Raw genomic sequence first — 22210 nt, forward strand, 5'->3', positions numbered from 1 at the left:
GGCTCCTAATATTGTCTTGAAGAGTCAGAGAAATAGGTCTGGAATTGGGCTTATATCCAGTGCTCAAGACTGCTCTAAGAGTTTCTTCCTTTTAGATGTGGATTTACAGAGAAGTATTTTCAGTGACAAGCAGTGCCTTCTTGACTTGAAGTGCCAACTTTTCTTATTCCATGGAGACCAAGCCTCCTTGTCACACACATTTTTTTTAAAACCAGATGGTAATTTAGATGTATATATAATATATATTATATATATATATATTTTTAAGTACATATGCCCTCCTTAACAGCACTTAAACAAAAATTAGAATATTGGAGGATTAGCATGGCACCTGTAGTAGAATAAATTAATGACACATTGTGGGATATAGATTTTTACAGGGAAAAGAATGTAGGCTTTGGGGTTAGATCAAGTCCCGGCATGGCTGCTAACTAGCTATGTGACCTTAGACAAATGATCTAACTTCTGAGCATATGTCCTCATTTAAAATATAGAGATGTTAGCATCTACCTCATAGAGTGGTTGTACAGATTAGAGAATATGTGTATGAAATTCCTTTCATGGTATGTGACCAATAGTCAGTGGTTAATAAGTGGTGGATATTCCACATAGAGACAGAGTCTCTCTATTTTGCCCAGGCTAGACTCAAACTCCTGGGCTCAAGCCATCCTGCCACTACAGCATCCCAAGTAGTAGATTACAGGTACATACCACCACACCTAGTGGATATTTCTTTTATTATTTATAAGTCAAACAGATGCCTAGAGAAGTTGTTAAACAGGCCCAAATCACAGATAATTTTTGGTAGATCTAGAACCAGAACCCAAGTTTTCTATTTAGAATTCTTCATATCTTTCACTATTGTTTTCTCTCTTAGGCTCTACTTATCTGAAAATTTTAGTTAGAAATCAACTAGATAAGCAGCAGATTGGGAACATTGTGAATGATTCCAGTTTTTTAAACAGTTTTATTAAAGTCTAATGGATTTATAATAAACTGCACATATTTGACATTTACCATTTGATAAGTTTTATCATCTGTATATACCTGTGAAACCATCACCACAATCAAGATTAATGAATACATTCATCACCTTCTGAAAGTGTCCTCTGTACCACTCCCCACAAGTCCCCCACCCCACCCCTAATCCCTGTGCCAGACAACCACTGGTCTGCTTTTTGACACTAGAGATTGTTTTACATTTTCTAGAGTTTTATATAAATGGAATCACACAATATGTACTCTTTTTTTGGTCTGATTTCTTTCATTCAGCATAATTATTTTGAGATTTATCCATGTTGTAGCATGTATCAGTAGTTCATTCCTTTTCATTGTAGGATAGTATCCATTTTATGGATACACCACAGCTTGTTTATCCATTCACCTGTTAATCAACATTTTGATTGTTTCCAGTTTTTTGTTATTACAAATAAAGCTGCTGTAAACATTTGTGTACAACTTTTTATATGGACATATGCTTTAGTGATTCTAATTTGTTTCATTACCTTATAGCTGGAATACTACAAGCAAGGAAAAACAGAAGAGTTTGTAAAATTGTTGGAAGCAGCACGTATAGATGGCAATTTGGACTATAGAGACCATGAAAAAGACCAGATGACTTGCTTGGATACATTGGCAGCGTATTATGTACAACAGGCTCGGAAAGAAAAGAATAAGGACAATAAAAAGGATCTTATTACACAGGCCACCTTGTTGTATACAATGGCCGATAAAATTATTATGTATGATCAGGTAAAAATAAAGTCAAATTTCTTTCCATTTATGAAGGGAGAAAAGCACATGAAAGCAAAATGTGTGTGATAGCAGATTTTTTGAAAGAGTTTTTCTTCAAGTAACATGGTTGATAGAGTCAAAAAGAAGAAAGGTTCCTCATTAAAATCGGAATGCTTTGGTTTTTGTACTGTTTAAGTAATATGGACAAATGTAGTACATAAAACTTGCTCCAGTAATTTTATTATCTCCAGGTGAATTTCAAGGATATTTTAAGGAATTTAAATTTTTCTTTTGGTTGTTGTTATTGGCACAGAAGACTTACATTTCAGGATAATTTCTTATTTTGTAATTAAGAATTGCTTGTTAGTAGCTTAAGCACGTTACATTTGATAGGGGAATTTGCACTGTGCTCCACCTCCTTCCTATTTGGTTTTCACTTTAGTGTTACATGTTCATGGTATATAGGGGTAAAATCTAAGATAATACATTACTTCATAGAACCATTTGTTGGGAAGAGCCTGCTTCTGCCTACTTGAGGGTGACAAAATGGATCAAGCTGATGCACAGTTTCATTTTGTACTCAATCAGTCTCCAAATAATATTCCAGCCCTTCTTGGTAAGTGGTCTTTGGCAACATGTTAGGAAACAGTTGTTTTCAGCATATGCCTAGAATATATCTCTTGGTAATAGCTCCTTAATAACTCAGCTAGACAGCAAAGTAGAAGAGCTTTATGTTGTTACAAATGAAATTACCTACAACAAATATTGTTGAAATTGTAGAAATAAAATATATACCAGTTAAGAATAATTTATTATTTAGGCCAGGCATGGTATAATCTCAGCACTTTGAGACCCTGTCTCGTTATACCTGTAATCCCAGCGCTTTGAGAGACTGAGGCAGGAGGATCACTTGAGGCCAGGAGTTCAAGACGAGCTGGGGCAACATAGCAAGACCCCATCTCTACAAAAAATAATTTTTTCAAAAAAGAGTAATTGGTTATACACTTCTGAAGAGCCAATAAACAATCTCTACTTAGACAACTTAAAGTTATTTCAATTATTACTTTATAACATTTTTTAAACTTTTATTGAAGTTCAGTGGTACAAGTGCAGGTTTGTTACATAGGTAAACTTGGTCATGGGGGTTTGTTGTGCAGGTTATTTCATCACTTAGGTATTAAGCCTAGTACCTATTAGTTATTTTTCCTGATCCTCTTCCTCCTCCCACCCTCCACCCTCCAAAAGGCCCCAGTATGTGATGTTCCCCTCTGTGTCCATGTGTTCTCATCATTTAGCTCCCACTTATAAGTGAGAACAGGCAGTATTCAGTTTTCTGTTCCTATGTTAGTTTGCTAACTTTATAACATTTAACATAAAAATAGGAAGTTTTATTTTTAGACATAAATTAGTATACTTTTATGAAAAACAAATTTTTAATATGAAATTTTGTTCTGTGTTTTCAAGTATTTCTCACTCAGAGATGTATTTAACTTAGATAAGTTAGTGTAAAACATAATAGACTTGTAGCCTTTAATCAGACACTGTGTTTATTTTTAAAAATCATTACAGGTAAAGCTTGCATTTCCTTCAACAAGAAGGATTACAGAGGAGCTCTTGCTTACTATAAGAAAGCATTGCGTACTAACCCAGGATGTCCAGGTAAGAGAAAAATTTTATTTTATGTCTAAACTGTGTATTACCCAGCTTAAAGCATTGAGGATTTGTCAGTTGCTTATGAAGTTATGAAAAGATATTGTTGGATTATAGAAATGTCAGAATCAAGTTTTTTTTTTGATGCTATGTTTGAGTCAAAAGCTGGATAGTAAGGCCAGGTGCAATGGCTCATGCCAATAATCCCAGCACTTTGGTAGGCAGAGGCAGGACTACTTGAGCCCAGGAGTTTGAGACCAGCCTGGGCAACGTAGTAAGACCCTGTCTCTACAAAAAATAAAAAAGTTACATGAGCATGGTGGCACACACCTGTGGTCCCAGCTCCTTAGGAGGCTCAGGCTGGAGGATCGCTTGAGTCTGGGAGGTTGAGGCTGCAGTGAGCCATCATTGTGCCATTGCATTCCAGCCTGGGCAACAGAACAAGACCTTGTCTCAAGGGGAAAAAAAAATAGATAGGGTCTGGCTGCACTGGTTCACACCTGTAATCTCAGCACTTTGGGAGGGTGAGGTAGAAGGATTGCTTGAGCCCAGGAATTTGAGACTAGCCTTTGCAACAAAGGGAGACCCCCATCTCTACAGAAAATCAGCCGCACATGGTAGTGCTTGTGGTCGCACCTACACAAGAGGCTAGGCAGGAAGATCACTTGAGCCTAGGCATTTGAGGCTGCAGTGAGCCATGTTCATGCCACGGCACTCCAGCCTGGGCAACAGAGCCAAGACCCTGTCTCAAGAAAAAAAAAGTCTGGATAGTAGATTATAATATAATCTTTTTGCCCTATACTATTTTTCTTTCCAAAATGTCATTCATGTAGCAAATTTTTACTGAGTACCAACTATGTGGCAGGCAGTGTTCTAAACCCTGAGAATGTAGCAATTAACCAAAGAGACAAAAGTTCCTGCCCTCATGGAGTCCAGTTTTCAGTGGGCAAGATAAATAGTAAAGTATGTATGATGTGTAAGCTACCAGTAAGAGCCAAGGAGAAGAATAAAGCAGAAAAAGGGTATGAGAAGCATCAGGAATTGCTTAGAAAGGATGACCAAGGAAACTCATCAGAGATAGTGACATTTGTGTGAAGACCTAAAAAACAACTAGCAGCCATGCAGATATATAGGAGAAGACCACTCCTAGAGAGAGAGCATAGAAGGTACAAAGGTCCAGAGGAAAGAGAGTGCCTGGTAAGTTTAAGGAAGAGTAAGGAGGCCATTGTTTCTGGAATAGAGAGAGAAAGAGTTGGGGGGAAAGTAGTAAGAAATGGGGTCAAAGCTATAACCAGGGACTGACTAATCACGTAGGGCATCACAGATTATTGTAAGGACTTTAGTTTTTACATCGACAGAGATGGGAAGCCATTGGAGGGCCTTGGGCAGCAGAGTGACGTGATCTGACCTATATTTAAAAGGTTCGTTTGAGCTTTGGGGTTGAGACTAGAGTGGGGCTCAAGGGGAGGGGGTCAAGGACAGAAGTAGGGAGAGCAGGGAGAAGGCATCTGCAGACAGGCAGGTCAGAGGTGATTGTGGCTCACACTAGGGAGGTAATAGTGGAGTTGGTACAAGTGGTCAGATTCTACATGTATTTTGAAAGGAGAGCTGATGGAGTACCTATGATGTATAAGACAGAGAGGAAGAGTCAAAGATAACTCCCTTGCACAAGCAATTGGAAAAGTAGAGTTATATTTTACTATATTTGGGAAATAGTTTAAGTGGAACTAGTTTTAGACCTGAAAAGTTTGAAATACCTTTTAGACATATAAGTTGTCAAATTAAGCAGTTCAGCCTTAAAGCTTTTAGAGCTTTATCCTGAGCCTTGAGAAGAATGTGGCTATACAACCTGAGTCACGTGGCATGCAGTTGCAATTTCTGCCTTTTTTTTTCTGTAAACAATTAAGATCAAATGGTGCCAGAAATAAGATCCCCCTCACATGGAGCAATAAAATAATCTTTTTAGAATATAGCAATTTGTAACCAATCAAATTGCTGTGACATAGGCACCTGGTGTTATATTTTAGAATGTTACAATCCTACTAGAACTTCTCTATTTCCCCCAAATAATTAAAACCTTAACTTTTTCACTTTGGAAAATGCTGATATCATTCATTTGGAGTCAGTACTTTTCTGGTGGCCATTCTTACACCTTGCACTCCAATACACTCTATACTTAATCATATTTTCCAAATCCCGTTATTTAAAATTGACAAAGTGAAGACAGCAGAAAGGCTGGAATTCAGGAAAGAGGTCTGGGCTGAAGTCATCAACATATAGATAGTGTATAAAGCTGTGAATGAGTGCAAATAGAAAAGAGGTCTAGAGGTGGAGCCCTAGAGCACTCTGATATTAAGAGATTAGGGAAATGAGGAAGAATCAGCAAAGGAGACTGAGAAGATAATAGCCAGAGGTATAGGAGGAAAATAGGGTAAGTGCATTGTCTTTAAAGGCAAATGTAAAATGTTTCCAGAAGAAGATGATGACCAACAGTGTCAAATTCTGTTGTTAGGTCAAGTAAAATAGGGACACAGAATTGATCATTGGATTTAGCACCATACAAATCCATAGTGACCTTGATAAAAGCAGTTTTACTGGAATGGTGGGGTGAGAGCTTCACTGGAGTGTATTCAAGAGAAAATGGAAGGAAGGGAATTAGACATAGCAAGCGTAGCTAGATCATTCTGGGAGTTTTGCTATTGAAGAACAGACATGATCGACAACTGGAAAGGGATATAGAATCAAGAGAGGATTTGTATAAGATGGCAGAACGTTTATGTGTAGATGAGAATGAATGATCCAGTAGAGAGAAAAAATAGGGGAGGGTTGCTGGAGCAGTATTCTTAAATAGATAAGAGGGCATCTAGTGACCAGTATGGTGATTGGCTTTAGATGGGAACTTGTTTGTGTTTTGGCATGGCCTTAAATGAGGTAGCACATATGAGCATAGCTTTGAAAGGAACAATGGTATGTGCCCATAATCAGTCATATTATTTAAGGTCTTAGTGGAACTTTTGTTCTCTGTTTAAAAATTGTTCTTCAATAATGAGAAATTGAAGGTATGGTTAGCAGCGATGTTAGAAGACAAGAAGAATACCAGTATTATAGGTGTTCTGTTCTATAGTGAGAAATGTGTCAGTGATAGAGGAGAGGGTTGGAATATGGTATGATGTAGCCTCCAAGGAAACCAAGTTTGTGATAGGTCAAAAGATTCTGTAGTGTAGTTATACTGAGGTTAATTTTGGGGATTTTGCAACTCATAAATAGAGAATGTTTAAGCATTTTTGTAATTGAACTCTAAAAAATGCCCTAGTTTGATAGATTGAATGACTTCATTTTATAGCGGAAGTTCGTTTAGGAATGGGTCATTGCTTTGTGAAACTTAACAAACTGGAAAAAGCTCGTCTGGCATTCAGCAGAGCCCTGGAACTCAATTCCAAATGCGTGGGAGCATTGGTTGGACTGGCTGTTCTAGAACTCAACAATAAAGAGGTATGTAAATGAAAAAAGTATCTAGCTCCTAACTGCTTTGTCAGGCCCACAGCCTCTTATCTAAAACTCTTGGAGCCAGATGTGTCTTAGAAATTAAGATTACAGATTACAGAAGGGTACCTGTACTTTGTAATGTATAACACCTAGTTATTGGGGCACTACCCCAAAAGCAAACTTATATTTCTGTGGCAAAATGATAGACTGTTTACACTAGTAGGATAGGGTTACAATTCAGGTAGTATTGCCACCAAATAAGTTTGCTCCAAGATTACCAAAAAAAAAAAAACAGAAAACAAAACTTGTTTTTTAAGGCATTTAGATTTCAGAATCTCAGATAAGGGGTCGTAGACTTGTATATCAGTTTGGAATGCTTTCATTGCACGTAACAAAAAACACATCCCAGTGCCTTAAACATAAGGGCTTTTAGTGTTTACTAAACCAGTTGTCAAAGGTCTCAAATTTGATAGGTCCTTGTCGTCAAACCTATGATTTTATATAATTCCGTCCTCCCTTCCTTAATGTGCAGCCTTTCTTCATCATGTCTGTCACCTTATAGTCACAAGATGGCTGCAGCATCTCCAGCTTCTCATTATTACATCGGTCTTATAAAGAGGGAGGAAAGAGAAAGGATAAAAAGGCTTTCTCTTAGAGAAGCCCTGTCTTATATTGAGAAGGAAGCTCTCCATCATGCTTCCCCTTATGTATAATTGTCCAAAACAGGGATACCTGGGTTTCTCAGCCTCAGTACTATTGATGTTTTGGGCTGGATAATTCTTTGTTGTGGGGAACTGTCCCTTCCATTATAGAATGTTTTAACAGCATCCCGGGCCTCTACCCACTAAATGCCGATAGCGTTCCTCCAATTGTGATAACCAAACATGACTTCATCCCCAGTTGAGAACCACTACCTTAGGCCAGAGGAAAAGATTATCTGGACTGGTGTAGATCAATCATGATTCATCCCCCGGGCCTGGGGAAGGGGGGAAGGGAACTTTCCTTCCTAAACTCAAAAGATTTTCACAGGCTACAAAATCTGGATTCTGTTAGCAGGATGTTACCAACCCAAATGGCTGTTGGGTAATCCACCAGTATCAGTCACACGAAGAAAACAGCTCGGATCAATAAAACCAAAGGTGGTAGAGGCCAGGCATGGTGGCTCTCACCTATAATCCCAACACTTTGGGAGATCAAAGTGGGAGGATTGTTTGAGCCCAGGAGGTCAAGGCTGCAGTGAGCTGTGTTCATGCCAGTGTACTCCATCCTGGGCAACACAGTGAGATCCTGTCTGAAAAAAATAAAAATTAATATAAATAAATAAAAACAAAGGTGGCTCTTTGTGGGAGAAGTAGGGGCAGGGACTAATAAAGTAGATGAGATAAGTCTCAAGCAAGAACTGAACAAGAAAATAAAAAGGGGAAAAAAGTGACACACAAAAAAATTAAGGATTAAAAGAGAGATTTAATTACAAATGCAATATAGATATTTAAAATCATAAGAAGCTTCTAATCCGTTTTAGTGTCTGATCTTAGGATTTATAACTTATTTCTTGTGACTAAAGAAAACTTCTTGAAAAGTGCTAATTTAGTATTGTTTTCACTCCACCTTGTTGCAATGTTTTCTTTTAGGCTGATTCCATTAAAAATGGTGTCCAGCTTCTTTCCAGAGCCTATACTATTGATCCTAGCAACCCTATGGTATTGAACCATTTGGCAAATCACTTTTTCTTCAAAAAGGTAGAAGTCATTTATTTTTAAATTCTGATTTTTGTTTTTCTGTACTGCAATTGATATTTTATTTCTTTTTTAAACTTGGAAAGAAATTTGAAAATGTCAGATTTTTTCCCCCCTCCAAATTATAGAGTTTGTTGTATTAGTTACCTGGGGGTACCTACATTTGTTTATTCATTTATTTGCTTAATATTTATTGACCCCTATATACTGTACCCAACACTGTGGTAGTGATGTGAAGATTAGTAAAACATGGTGTCTGTACTCAAGGAGTTCAATTTCATAGAAAGAGCAGCCATGTAAACAAATGTAAGTGTAAAAATAAAGGTATCTACTCATTTATGGTAGAGAAATGAGGAAGTGGTCAGATGGCTTAGGTGAATTTTCACCAAGGCTGCAGAGCTTTTGAACTAGGTTTTTAGGAAGAGGTCACTAGAGAGTTGAAAAGGGAAAGACACACAAATCTATGAAATAGTGTATAATATACTTATGGTAGGCAATGCTTTGGATTCAGATAGTGGAGCATTTTTGTAATACCAGAATTTGGACATGCTATGTAGGGAACAAGGAGTCACTGACATTTTTATTTTGCATGTTAATCATGTTGTATTTTTTAAGTTGCCACTAATTCTGTAGAAGCAGTGGTATTTTAGGTTTCTTAAAATACTAAATCTACTGGGAGTAGTGGCTCATGCCTGTAATCCCAGCATTTTGAGGGGCCTAGGTGGGAGGATTGCTTGAGCCCAGGAGTTCAGGACCAACACTGGCAACATAGTGAGACCTCATCTCTACAGAAATTTTTAAAAATTAGCTGGACATGGTGGCACATACCTGTAGTCTCAGTTACTCAGAAGGCTGAGGTGGGAGGATCACTTGAGCCTGGGAGGTCGAGGCTGCAGTGGTGAGCCATGATGGCGCCACTGCACTCCAGCCCATGCAACAGAGTGAGACCCTGTCTCAAAAAAAAAAAAAAGTGCGCTTTATGTATTTACTTATGTAATCTTCACAATAATTCTATGATGTAGGTAATCTTATTCCCATTTTGTGGGTGGATAAGTTGAGGAAGAGTTAATAGTCTAAAGTCAGTAATTCACTATGAAAGGGGAGTATGTTTCTACAGCCAGAGAGAGTAAAGCACTGTGGTTAATAGTTATGTGACCTTAGACTAACCACAGTGCTTTACTCTTTCTGGCTGTAGAAACATACTCCCCTTTCATAGTGAATTATTGATTAGGTTATAACTGTTATAGCACTGAAAGGCAACTATTTATGAAGAAGATGGAAATGTATCTTACAGGTAAACGAAGTGTTAGTCTAAGATAAAACAGCTATGCAAGCTAGTCTTATGAATTCACTCAGTTGACTTTCTGATCTTTGTTCAGGATTATAGTAAAGTCCAGCATCTGGCCCTCCATGCATTCCATAATACAGAAGTGGAAGCTATGCAAGCAGAGAGCTGCTATCAGCTAGCTAGATCATTCCATGTTCAGGTAATTTTATAACTTCTCTAAATGTCTAATCTTTTTACTTATAGTGTTTTAAGTCTTTCCAATACTTTTGTACATATTGGTCTTTTTTAATTTTCATTCTTTAGGAAGATTATGACCAAGCTTTTCAGTACTATTATCAAGCCACACAGTTTGCCTCATCCTCTTTTGTGCTCCCATTTTTTGGTTTGGGACAAATGTATATTTATCGAGGTGACAAAGAAAATGCATCTCAGTGCTTTGAGAAGGTTTTGAAAGCTTATCCTAATAATTACGAAACTATGAAAATTCTCGGCTCTCTCTATGCTGCCTCAGAAGATCAAGAAAAACGAGATATTGCCAAGGTACATCTTTTTTTTAAAGTCTTAGCTGTTTTCTGTTAGCTGTCCCAAAACTCCCATTTCTCATTTCCTGTTATTGCTAGTAGAAATATGATAGAAACAGTTTTGTTAGCTGAGCTTGTTCCAGTTTAGATAACAAACAATGGATTTATTAAACAGACTTACATAGCCCCCACTTTTTATTTTGACAACCTATAGATGGAATACTTCAGCTTAACAATCTCTTTTATCCCAGGGCCATTTGAAGAAGGTCACAGAACAGTATCCCGATGATGTTGAAGCTTGGATTGAATTGGCACAAATCTTAGAACAGACTGATATACAGGTATTTTAGTAATGTTTTTTAATCTCTCATATGATGTGTTTTTTGTAAGCCTGGTGTAGTGTCTCTCTTCCACTTACACCTTTTTCTGTCAATCATGAAAATACAGGGTGCCCTTTCAGCCTATGGAACAGCAACACGAATCCTTCAGGAGAAAGTGCAGGCCGATGTTCCTCCAGAGATTCTCAATAATGTGGGTGCCCTCCATTTTAGACTTGGAAACCTAGGGGAGGCTAAGGTAGGAAAATAGAAATATTTCCTTCTTTTATACTGAATCAAGTTGCATGCACACCTTTTTAAAAAGTGTATAAACTAAATCTTTTAACAGTGTGATTTTTCTTTCTCATAGAAATATTTTTTGGCGTCATTGGACCGTGCAAAAGCAGAAGCGGAACACGATGAGCATTACTATAACGCCATTTCCGTTACCACGTCATATAATCTCGCCAGGCTATATGAGGCGATGTGTGAATTCCATGAAGCAGAAAAACTGTATAAAAACATCTTACGCGAACATCCTAATTATGTTGACTGTAAGGATTTTAAACTTCTTTATGTAATGAAATCCGTTCATTCCCACAAGAGCAGCAAAAATTTAGCCTGAAAAAAATTTAGAATTGATAGTAAAAATTGTTTAAGGTTCTAATGTCCCCATTTCTCCAGGGCAAATTTGTGGCCTTAAAACAAAGGTGCAGCTTTACTTACATTTGTGCTAGAAATAAGCAACTAAAACCAATTGGACCGTATTTCAATGACTAGGTTATCTTCAGTGGGTCAGCTACCTTTGTTAGGCTTTTAACAACTCCTTGGCATATCTGATAATGCATTTACCTTTGAAACATCCTTCTTTGATTTCATATGAACATTCTTACAATGTTTATAATAGTGAGGAAGAAAAGTGCTTTTCCTTTAAACAATTATTGCTAAAATGTCCTAATTTGAGTTTCGCAACCTATACGTTATAAAATAAGGAAAGTTTTTAATTAAAAAATAATTTAGGCCTGGCATGGTGGCTCATGCCTGGAATCCCAGTACTTTGGGAGGCCACTGCAGCGGGATCGCTTGAGTCCAGGAGTTCAAGACCAACCTAAACAACCCCAGTAGCAAGACCCCATCTTTATATTTTAAATAATAATAATATACATAGTGTACTTAATTTTATTTGTGTGTATGAGGGTTTTTTTGTTTGTTTTTGTACTTTCTTTAAAAAGAACCTAAAGCATGATGTTTTGACTCTAGTAAATCAGGAGGTTTTTTGTTTTTTTGTTTTGTTTTGTTTTTAAGATGGAGTCTTGCTCTGTCACCCAGGCTGGAGTGCAGTGGCACAATCTCGGCTCACTGCAACCTCTGCCTCCCGGGTTGGAGTGATTCTCCTGCCTCAGCCTCCCGAGTAATTGGGATTACAGGGGCCCACGACTACGTCCGACTAATTTTTGTGTTTTTAGTAGAGGTGGGGTTTTGCTACGTTGGTCAGACTGGTCTAGAACTCCTGACTTCAGGTGATCCATCCACCATGGCCTCCCAAAGTGCTGGGATTATAGGCGTGAGCCACCGTGCCCGGCATATCAGGAGCTATTAACTTGGTGCCTATCATGCTGTTATGGATGCAAAAGTGATTTAAAATAAGCAAGATTTCAGTTGAATGCCAGACTGAATTTGAATTGATTTGATAGGCAGTAGTGAACCATTATTGGTTTCCTGAGAGAAGTGACATTTCCTAGAGAAAACAACAACTTACATTTGTGTAGCACTTCACTATTAATTAATGGAAGAACCCCAGTTAGAGCCCAGATCTTCTAAGTAGTAATACCTATTCATCAGACTTTCACTGTTTTGCCGTATTACAAGCAGCTTTTTTTAAAAAAAGGTAACTGACAATGGTGTGCATTGGAGAGAAATTAGAAACAGGCCGGTTCCAAGCTTTTAAAATAACTTAGCTTGAGATAAGGACTTGGACCAGGGAACTAGCATTGGGAGTGGAGTGGCAGAGGTAAGTCTTAGATTTCAAACAGTAAGTCTAGATGGTGACAAAATTATTCTTTAACTTGTTGGATGGATGATTGATATTTTTTCACCTTTGGGACTTTTCTGTTCCTTTTATGGCGGTATTAATGAAAAAAAATTGTTTCAAAAGTATGACTTTAAAATTATGATCCTTTATAGCTAATATTTGGGATATAAAAACTTTTAAATATGTTTTCAGGCTATTTGCGCCTAGGAGCCATGGCTAGAGATAAGGGAAACTTTTATGAGGCTTCAGATTGGTTTAAGGAAGCTCTTCAGATTAATCAGGTTGGTAATATTAACTCTTAGGTTTGAGAAATAATTATTTTCACTTTTCCTTCCCCATAAATCAGTTTTTCCTTTTAATGGCTACATCTTCCTGGTTTTGTCATTTTTTGTTTTGTTTTCATTTACTTGTTAGATACTAAAAATGTACTAGGTTGCATTATTAATCATGTTATAAATAGGGACCATGTTTTTTTATGTAAATCTTTCCTATTGTCTTCCTTTTTCCTTCTTCCCTTCCCCCATCCCATCCTTTCACTCCACTTCAACAAATGTGACCTGACTCCTGTGTTTTTTACTCTCACTAGTTTACTTCACTTTCAGTTTAGTTAGTACCATATGAGAGAACTTTATAGCATAGTATCTTAGGATTTTGTATGGAACCATAGCTATGGTCATCTAAACGTTTTGAGGGCCCACAAAAAGAAATAGATTTCACATCATAGCCTAGTACACACAAATGTATATATAGACAAACAACTGAAATGAAAGTTTCACAAATCATTATTTGCTTTTGCCAATGGGCGATACACTGATATTTTTACTTTATTCCATTCTGTTGCATTTACTATGCAGATAACTAAAGACTAACTAAATGGATTTTACAACTTACTAATGGGTATCAACTCAGTTTGAAAACCACTCATGTGGGGGTCTACAACAAGAAGTGTATATTTTCAAACAATTTTTTAATGATTTAACAATTTTTGTAAATCATTTTCAGGCTTCTGCAGCTGTAGATTCTCACTGTGAATCCCATGCTTGCTCATGCCTAAGGGTATTTGCAATACCAAATATAGTTTAGTATTTTTGCCTGTTAGTGATGGTTCCACGTTTGTAACGTTTTGGTTGAGATTTTAAATGGTGGACAAGTACTGTGGATGTGAATGTGGGGAACTAATTTTAATCATATGTAATTGGTCACAAGGCCTAATTTGCAGTAACTATTGCTGTTTTATTTAACAGTGCCTTGTTGCTTTGTATGCATTTATGTCTGGATGTAAAGATTGTGTGTCTATCCAACAGGGAGCCACAGTATTTAAATTGACCAACCTAATGTTACAACTACTTTGAGGTGGCCAAATGTAAACTGAAAGCATTAATTAAAGTGGTGCAATTTTGTATAACTTAGCTTTAGCATTAGTAGTTCGATAAATTTGGATTGCCATGCAAAAAAAAAAAGAAAGAAAGAAAAGAAAGAAAACCACTGTTGTAATATAGTTTGTAAACCTCTTCAGTAATCAGCTATTGTGGGAAGATGATTGATCTCTGTCAAACTAAACTGCAGATTTTCCTTCTTCATGTATGTATGTTTCAGGATCATCCAGATGCTTGGTCTTTGATTGGCAATCTTCATTTGGCAAAACAAGAATGGGGTCCTGGGCAGAAGAAGTTTGAGAGGATATTAAAACAGCCATCCACACAGAGTGATACCTATTCTATGCTAGCCCTTGGCAACGTGTGGCTCCAAACTTTACATCAGCCCACCCGAGATCGAGAAAAGGTAATCTCTTTTTGTCCTTTTAAACAAAACTGATACTCTACATTCTCGTTTGAATCTTTTTTAAGAGCACTTGTTTCTATAGGAAAAGCGTCATCAAGATCGTGCTCTGGCCATCTACAAACAAGTACTCAGAAATGATGCAAAGAATCTGTATGCTGCCAATGGCATAGGTGATTATAAGACTTGAGTACCCATAACAATTTGTTTCAAATGAATACTTTCAGAGGAATGTTTGTAAATCAGAATTTTTCTTAAAATGTGATCAATGTAGTTGTTTTAAAATAGAATTTTTAGTTGTTTTTCTGACTCCAATTAGAAAATTGTTAAGTGTGAACCTTTTTATATCTTTAGGAGCTGTTTTGGCCCACAAAGGATATTTTCGTGAAGCTCGTGATGTATTTGCCCAAGTAAGAGAAGCAACAGCAGATATTAGTGATGTGTGGCTGAACTTAGCACACATCTATGTGGAGCAAAAGCAGTACATCAGCGCCGTTCAGATGGTAATAGCTTCTCTTTCAAGATATTTTTATATCTTGTTCATTGTTAAGCAGATGTTTTCTTAGCCATTCTGGCCCTGTCATGGAGCTGCATGCTATCTCTTGTGATACTGTGTCTATTTAGAGATTTATAATTATATAATGCTAAGGCCAGGCTTTGGTATCCAGACAGAGATGTGAGTCCTGGTTCCACCACTAATTACATGCCTCAGGCAAAGGACATCCTTTCTGAGCCAGTTTTCCTATCTATAAAATGGAGATAATTGTACCTTAACTTCATAGAATTTTGTGAGGATCCCGTATGAAAACTACTTGGCACTAGCATGCCTAGCATATTAGTAATACCCAGTAAGTAGTAGGATTGAATATTTATTTGTGTATTCAGTTTCTGAAACTGAACTGTGAGTTTTAGAAAGGTTAAATGACTTATTTAAAAGAAAACAGGCCAGGCATGGTGGCTTACTCCTGTAATCCCAGCACTTTGGGAGGCTGAGGCGGCTGAGGCGGATGGATCACGAGGTCAGGAGTTCGAGACCAGCCTGGCCAACATGGTGAAACCCTGTCTCTACTAAAAATACAAAAATTAGCTGGGCATGGTAGCACGTGCCTGTAATCCCAGCTTACTCAGGAAGCTGAAACAGGAGAATTGCTTGAACCTGGGAGGCAGAGGTTGCAGTAAGCCAAGATCCTGCCACTGCACTCTAGCCTGGGCGACAAAGCCAGACTCTGTCTCGGGAAAAAAAAGAAAAAAGAAAACAAAACAGCGATAAGATTTAATGACTGTAGAATTTTTTTATGCTTACATTTGTTGAGTGCTTGAGCTCGAAATAAAAGTCATACTCAGCATCCATAAAATTAAAAAGTAAAAAGGATCTTCGGCTCTGTGGGATATATTATGGTCAGAAAGGAAAAGCTTACAAAAAGTAGACAAAAAGAGCAGTCCAGGCTCCTGAGAAGTGGTTTACCTTTTTCTAAAATGGGTGGGTTATTACCAATATTCAGAGTACTGGAAAGTCAATAATCACAGAAACTCACAGAACCTAGATTGCATATGGAGCTTCAGAGGTTGTGTTTTGTGAGGCTGGCCTTCCTGATCTGCTGAATGATAATGTTGTCTTTTATAAATGCAAATTAACTACTAGGGATATTCAGGAAAAAATGGTCTTAACCATTTTTCATGAAAAAGGTCTTACCTATGACAAGAGGTATTCCATGGTCAAAAAGTGCTATGTTCATGTCACAATTAACACTAGTATTGTATTGGTTTTACCAAGAAGTTAACAACCAGAACTGTAAGACTCCTCATGCTCATTGCCAGTAGGTTCTGCCCATTGTTAAGAAAGGTGTAGATGGTAAAACGCAAAGGACAACGGTGTATGACTTCTCATCAGTGGTCAATAAGCTGATTCTAGATAGTATTGCTAAAAGTATGAAAAAGGCTTTCCAGTCTGTTTACCCTTTCTTTCAATGTTGGTCCAAATTTCAAATGGAAAGAAACCATTTCAAGCATCTAGTTTTTCTAATGGTCAGATTTTTTATGTTGTGAAAATGTATCCTGATGAATGTCAAAAATCATTCCCCAAATTATTCTCTGAAATTAACCATTCAAAGGGTAAAACACCTTTTTACAGAGCTTTAAAATTGCAATGCCATTTTGCTACAAAATGAAAATGTCATTTATTCTTTGTTGTGTTTTAATTAACTTTTTTCTTTTACTGTAGTATGAAAACTGCCTCCGAAAGTTCTATAAGCACCAAAACACTGAAGTTGTACTCTATTTGGCCCGGGCCCTCTTCAAGTGTGGCAAGTTACAGGAATGCAAACAGACTTTGCTGAAGGTAAAAAGGAGAGATGTTATTCCCATCCATTTCTGTGCTACATTGTATTTTTTAATTCTTCGTGATGCGTGTTCACATACCTACTACTTAATAATACTCTGCTGTCTAAGATCCTTTTCATGTCATTTGAACATATGAAATATTTATTTTTTATTCACAGGCTAGACATGTGGCACCCAGTGATACAGTTCTTATGTTTAATGTGGCCTTGGTCCTGCAAAGATTAGCTACCTCTGTCCTGAAAGATGAAAAAAGTAATCTGAAGGAAGTACTTAATGCTGTGAAAGAACTGGAGCTTGCACATAGGTAAAGATTTTGTAGAAACAACCTATGAAATGCTTTATTTGGTCTATGACCATACCATCTTGAACTCTCCCGATTTTGTCTGAAATGCTTTGTTTAAAGCTATTTGTCTCAAGCTGCTGAAAATCACTTCCTTCTAAAGGTGGTCTATTAGAATCATTCCAGCAATAGTTAAGCCAAAGCAGATAGCAGCTGCCACCAGGTGGTGCCAAACTATAGTCAGGATCCTGCCAGATTTGGATCTTGTAGCTTGACCTCTAGAACTGGCTGGCTAGCTTTGCAAACTTGCCATAGATTTTTTATTAATCTGACAGTAATGTGACCCAGCATTTTACACATGTGAAATTTTTTGGACACTTACGTTGGTCTTCCATTTTACACCAATGTGTCTTTTAATGGGATGTTGATTTTCATTGAACTAGGATTAAGGTTTTACTTCTTAAATAATGCTTAATAGTTTTATTCAGTTCAGCTCAAAATTTATTTAGCCATATAGTATTTATATGGTGAGTCAGTGTGTGGTGAAATTAAAACCTGTCATCTCTTCAGGTTTTGTCCAACTTAATATTTTTATTCTTGTTTAACAATTCTTGCCTTGCCTGGTAAATTATAAGTGCTTTCATGGCCTGAGCCCCGTAACCTCCATCCTGACATATTTAGTAAATTTCATGTTTAGTAAATACTTGTTGCTTGAATTGCTTTGTGGTTATTTGTGAATTTACTGATAATATTAAATATAACTTAGACCATCTTGATGAACGTGTCTATTAAATGTAATGAGTGGCATAAATTTGTGTAAATCAGTCAATATGCAAACCTTTTCTCAGACTTTGTAGCACAGATTAAATTTTTTAAGAGCTTTATTTCATTAGAATCTCTTTTTTTAAAAGTGAAGTATTTTCTCGTTTCATTTAGATACTTCAGTTATTTGAGTAAAGTGGGAGATAAAATGAGATTTGATTTGGCCCTTGCTGCTACAGAAGCCAGGTAATGTTACTATTTATGGAAGGTGACTTTGGGTGAGGCAGTGATATTTACATGGGCTGGGAAAGTGCCACAGTAGGGAACAGAGGTTCCTGACCTTCCACAGGTCAGTCTTTCACACTTCTCTTGGGGACTCTCTAATCTTTGCCAGGACTTTTTCCTTTCAGGGAATTGGACAAAATTGCCTTAGTACAAGTACTTGAGTTCTGGGGGAAAATACTTTTCTATTTTACTTATGTCAGCTATGTCAGCCTAGTCAAGATAAAATTCATGACTCTGAGTTATATGTAAAGATAATGTTGGAAATCTTTTTAGCTGTGCTTTGAGAGGACATTTATAGTTTGGAAACTTAACATAGTTGGCAGTATTGGCTTATGATAAACTAAGTTAATTTTGCTAATTAAGACTCCATACATTGGTATGGTATGGCAAGTGTAATGCAAAAAAAAAAATTTTTTTTGGCTGGGCGCAGTGGCTCACACCTGTAATCCTGGCACTTTTGGAGGCCTAGGTGGGCGGATCAGCTGAGGTCAGGAGTTCAAGAGCAGCCTGACCAACATGGAGAAACTCCGTCTCTACTAAAAATACAAAATTAGCCAGGTATGGTGGTGCACACCTGTAATCCCAGCTACTCGGGAGGCTGAGGCAGGATAATCACTTAAACCCGGAGGCGGAGGTTGCGGTGAGCCGAGATGGCACCATTACACTCTAACCTAGGCAACAAGAGCAAAACTCTGTCTCTTAAACAAAAAAGGAAGAAAAAAAACATTTTTTTAAAAAAAGACTTCACATAGATCAGCTAATGGTCCTGCTTCAGATTTTTTAATTTGTATAAGGAAAATAGATGTGCTGAGTTTTTTAATATAGTAGTTACATTCATGTTTCTCTAAACCTGAAATGTTCTAGGCAGTGTTCTGACTTACTGAGCCAGGCCCAGTACCATGTGGCCCGGGCACGCAAACAAGATGAAGAAGAGCGGGAGCTGCGGGCCAAGCAAGAGCAAGAAAAGGAGCTGTTAAGGCAGAAACTTCTTAAAGAACAGGTATCTTGTATTTTCCAGTTATACTGGAATTAATGAATTGTGTGCATGCATACACTTTGTATGTTTAAAAAAAAAAGTCCTCTGCCAGGCGTGGTGGCTGACACCTCTAATTCCAACACTTTGGGAGGATGAGGTGGGTGGAGGGCGGATCACTTGAGGTCAGGAGTTCGAGACCAGCCTGGCCAACATGGTGGAACCCCGTCTCTACTAAAAATACAAAAATTAGCCAGGAGTGGTGGCATGCACCTGTAATCCCAGCTACTCGGGGAGCTGAGGCAGGAGAATCACTTGAACCTGGGAGGCCAAGGTTGTAGTGAGCCGAGATTGCACCACTGTACTCCAGTCTAGGCAACAGAGTGAGACTCCATCTCAAAAGAAAAAAAAAAATCCTCTGCTTAGGATGGTAGCCATTAATTTTTCATCATAAGAAAATTTGCAGTGGGGTTTCTTTTCTACCATTTTTCCTCATAGGAAGAGAAACGTCTCAGAGAAAAGGAAGAGCAAAAGAAACTTTTGGAACAGCGGGCCCAGTATGTGGAGAAGACCAAAAATATTCTTATGTTTACTGGTGAGACTGAAGCAACAAAAGAGAAGAAAAGAGGTGGTGGTGGTGGACGGGTAAGATATAATTCCTGCTAGCACAAGTGACCTCATTCTCTGTCTTTTGGCTTTGAGAAATGAGGATAATTGGTTAAATTCCTTCTGTACTTACTAGTTTTGACTTCCTCTTTTGTTAAGAGACAGTCTTCTAACACAGAGAATGATTTAAATGGTATCCAGTATTTAGCAATGCATTCCAAGGTTTGCTAAGTGTATTTTACCTTGTAGTTATCTTTTAAATAGTTGATTTTTGCAGTTTTAACCAGTTGAGACTTTCGTCTCAATTAGAAGTCTAATTGGGCCTAGCCAAGAACCTCTTCCACGTGGCTTAGTAAAAGATCCTTCATTTGGGCCGGGCACAGTGGCTCATGCTTATAATCCTAGCACTTTGGGAGGCCGAGGTGGGCAGATCACTTGAGGTCAGGAGTCTGAGACCAGTTTGGCCAACATGGTCCATGTCTCTACTAAAAAGTACAGAAATTAGCCAGGTGTAGTGATGCATGCCTGTAGTCCCAGCTACTTGGGAGGCTGAGGCACGAGAATCACTTGAACCCAAGAGGCAGAGGTTGCAGTGAGCCGAGATTGCCCCACTGCACTCTCGCCTGGGCAAAAGAGTGAGACTTCATCTCAAAAAAAAAAAAAAAAAAATCCTTCATTGTCAAATGACAATGGATATGGCCCCTTTCTGTACCTTAGCATTCTAACCACATTCCACCAACCAGGAAATAACTGACTATAGTGTTGTTTGGATTTTAGCGTTCTAAGAAGGGAGGAGAGTTTGATGAATTTGTCAATGATGACACTGATGATGACCTACCTATATCCAAAAAGAAGAAGAGAAGAAAGGGTAGTGGCAGTGAACAAGAAGGTGAAGATGAGGAGGGTGGTGAGAGAAAGAAGAAAAAGAGGAGAAGGTAATGTCATCATTAATGTGCTTTAAGTAACCTCATAAAAGTGGTGAAAGACCTTTTACCTTCTGAATCTTTTGATGTTTAGAATTGATGAACACTTGATCCAAACAGTGAAGCTTTTTGTGCCCCCACTTCCTACTTTAATCCTAAGATAGACCCCAGTACAAAATCCACTGAGTACCTGGGATTTCCATACGTCTCCACAGCTTTCCTTCTAAGCGCTGCAAGTTAGTCATAATTGCCTTTCTTGTGTCTCTAAATATTTATTGGAAAACATGTGATTTAGAATAAGACCTGGATTGTGTCCACACTAACTGTGCATGTGCAATCTTGGAAAAATCACTAAGCCTCAGTTTCCTCTCTGTCGTTGGTAACAGCAATGCCTACCTCATGGTTTTTGCTCAATGCATAAGATGTGAATGTGTGTAAAAGTGCCTTTAAAACCACCCAGTGTTCTCTGCTGTTAAGATCAAGGATGCCCTACCCATTTCTCATGCGGAGGTGCCTCCTAAGCTACTTTGGCCCTCTCTTGTTGTGCTATCCTGTCCCCAGGAACCTCCATTCAGTTATCTTACCTAGACTGCCCTTCCCAACCCTTGGCCGACTATATTTGGGAAAGAACCTGCTACTACATTAAGACACAGACTTGTGGAATTGAAGCTGTGGTGAGGATATTAGTAGCAGCCCTGGAATCAATAGTTGGGAAAGAAGGAAGAGGAAGGGAAAGACGTTGAAGTCTGGAGCCTGGGTCTTTTCTCATCTTCTCTGTCACTCTACCAAGTGCAAGATTCAAATGCAAATTAATGAGAGCTCAGCAGTGACTAATCAGCAGACATTGCATAAATACATAGTTTTTACATTTCTGAGCCACGTGCAGCAAGAGTAAGTTATGTCCCCTGCCCTTGAGGAGTGTACAGTATGATTGAGGACAGCACCCATATAGAAGAGGATTCAGAATGAATAATAATTTAATGGCAAAGTAGTCTGGAACTTTATAGGTAGGCTCTTGACAAACTCTCTCTTGGTGTTCACTATTTAAGACATCCAAAGGGAGAAGAAGGATCTGATGATGATGAAACAGAAAATGGCCCCAAACCAAAAAAACGACGTCCACCAAAAGCAGAGAAGAAAAAGGCTGTAAGTTTATAGTACTGTGTTTTTCTGTCCCCTAGTAGATGTGAAAGATTGCAGTACACTAGAATACATTCTTTCCTTGCAGCTTTCTCAAGCACAAATGCTTGTTTTCAAAGTTCATCAGTGGCTGTTTGATTGTATCATTGTAATGCAAACCCAATTTAACAAGATGGCCTAATGTAAGAGTCTTGACTAATCTATTATGTTTGACATTCTTTAGCCCAAGCCAGAACGTCTGCCTCCATCAATGAAGGGAAAAATAAAATCCAAAGCCATAATTTCATCAAGTGATGACTCTTCGGATGAGGATAAACTTAAAATTGCTGATGAAGGGTAGGATATTTTCTCTTTGTAA

General features: G+C 37.9%; 1 protein-coding gene across 2 annotated transcripts in view, besides 2 other annotated features; it reads left to right on the top strand.

Moving 5' to 3' along the window:
• Nucleotides 1-22210, top strand: part of CTR9 (CTR9 component of Paf1/RNA polymerase II complex) — a 28501-nt gene that overhangs the window by 2200 nt on the left and 4091 nt on the right. The window contains exons 3-24 of one of the 2 annotated variants that reach the window (NM_014633.5): nt 1513-1752; nt 2233-2350; nt 3304-3393; nt 6728-6876; nt 8502-8609; nt 9986-10093; nt 10198-10434; nt 10667-10756; nt 10863-10991; nt 11103-11286; nt 12957-13045; nt 14361-14546; nt 14629-14716; nt 14898-15046; nt 16765-16881; nt 17042-17187; nt 18100-18171; nt 19075-19210; nt 19682-19828; nt 20567-20724; nt 21762-21858; nt 22076-22188. In NM_014633.5, the coding sequence (NP_055448.1) occupies nt 1513-1752; nt 2233-2350; nt 3304-3393; nt 6728-6876; nt 8502-8609; nt 9986-10093; nt 10198-10434; nt 10667-10756; nt 10863-10991; nt 11103-11286; nt 12957-13045; nt 14361-14546; nt 14629-14716; nt 14898-15046; nt 16765-16881; nt 17042-17187; nt 18100-18171; nt 19075-19210; nt 19682-19828; nt 20567-20724; nt 21762-21858; nt 22076-22188 (2951 nt within the window). The remainder of the gene's footprint in view (nt 1-1512; nt 1753-2232; nt 2351-3303; nt 3394-6727; nt 6877-8501; nt 8610-9985; nt 10094-10197; nt 10435-10666; nt 10757-10862; nt 10992-11102; nt 11287-12956; nt 13046-14360; nt 14547-14628; nt 14717-14897; nt 15047-16764; nt 16882-17041; nt 17188-18099; nt 18172-19074; nt 19211-19681; nt 19829-20566; nt 20725-21761; nt 21859-22075; nt 22189-22210) is intronic. The other variant, NM_001346279.2, reaches the window with a different exon arrangement.
• Nucleotides 8896-8945: an enhancer, noted in NCBI's record as "active region_4447". NCBI's record gives its function as "activates an Ori minimal core promoter by ATAC-STARR-seq in GM12878 lymphoblastoid cells {active_cell/tissue: GM12878}" and the evidence as "EXISTENCE:reporter gene assay evidence [ECO:0000049][PMID:35858748]".
• Nucleotides 10341-11540: an enhancer, noted in NCBI's record as "CDK7 strongly-dependent group 2 enhancer chr11:10785333-10786532 (GRCh37/hg19 assembly coordinates)". NCBI's record gives its function as "activates an origin of replication core promoter dependent on BRD2, BRD4, P300/CBP, MED14 and CDK7 cofactors, with strong dependence on CDK7, by STARR-seq in HCT116 cells {active_cell/tissue: HCT116}" and the evidence as "EXISTENCE:reporter gene assay evidence [ECO:0000049][PMID:35650434]".

The sequence above is a fragment of the Homo sapiens genome, chromosome 11, assembly GCF_000001405.40.
Source record: "Homo sapiens chromosome 11, GRCh38.p14 Primary Assembly".
Classification (NCBI taxonomy): Eukaryota; Metazoa; Chordata; class Mammalia; order Primates; family Hominidae; genus Homo; species Homo sapiens.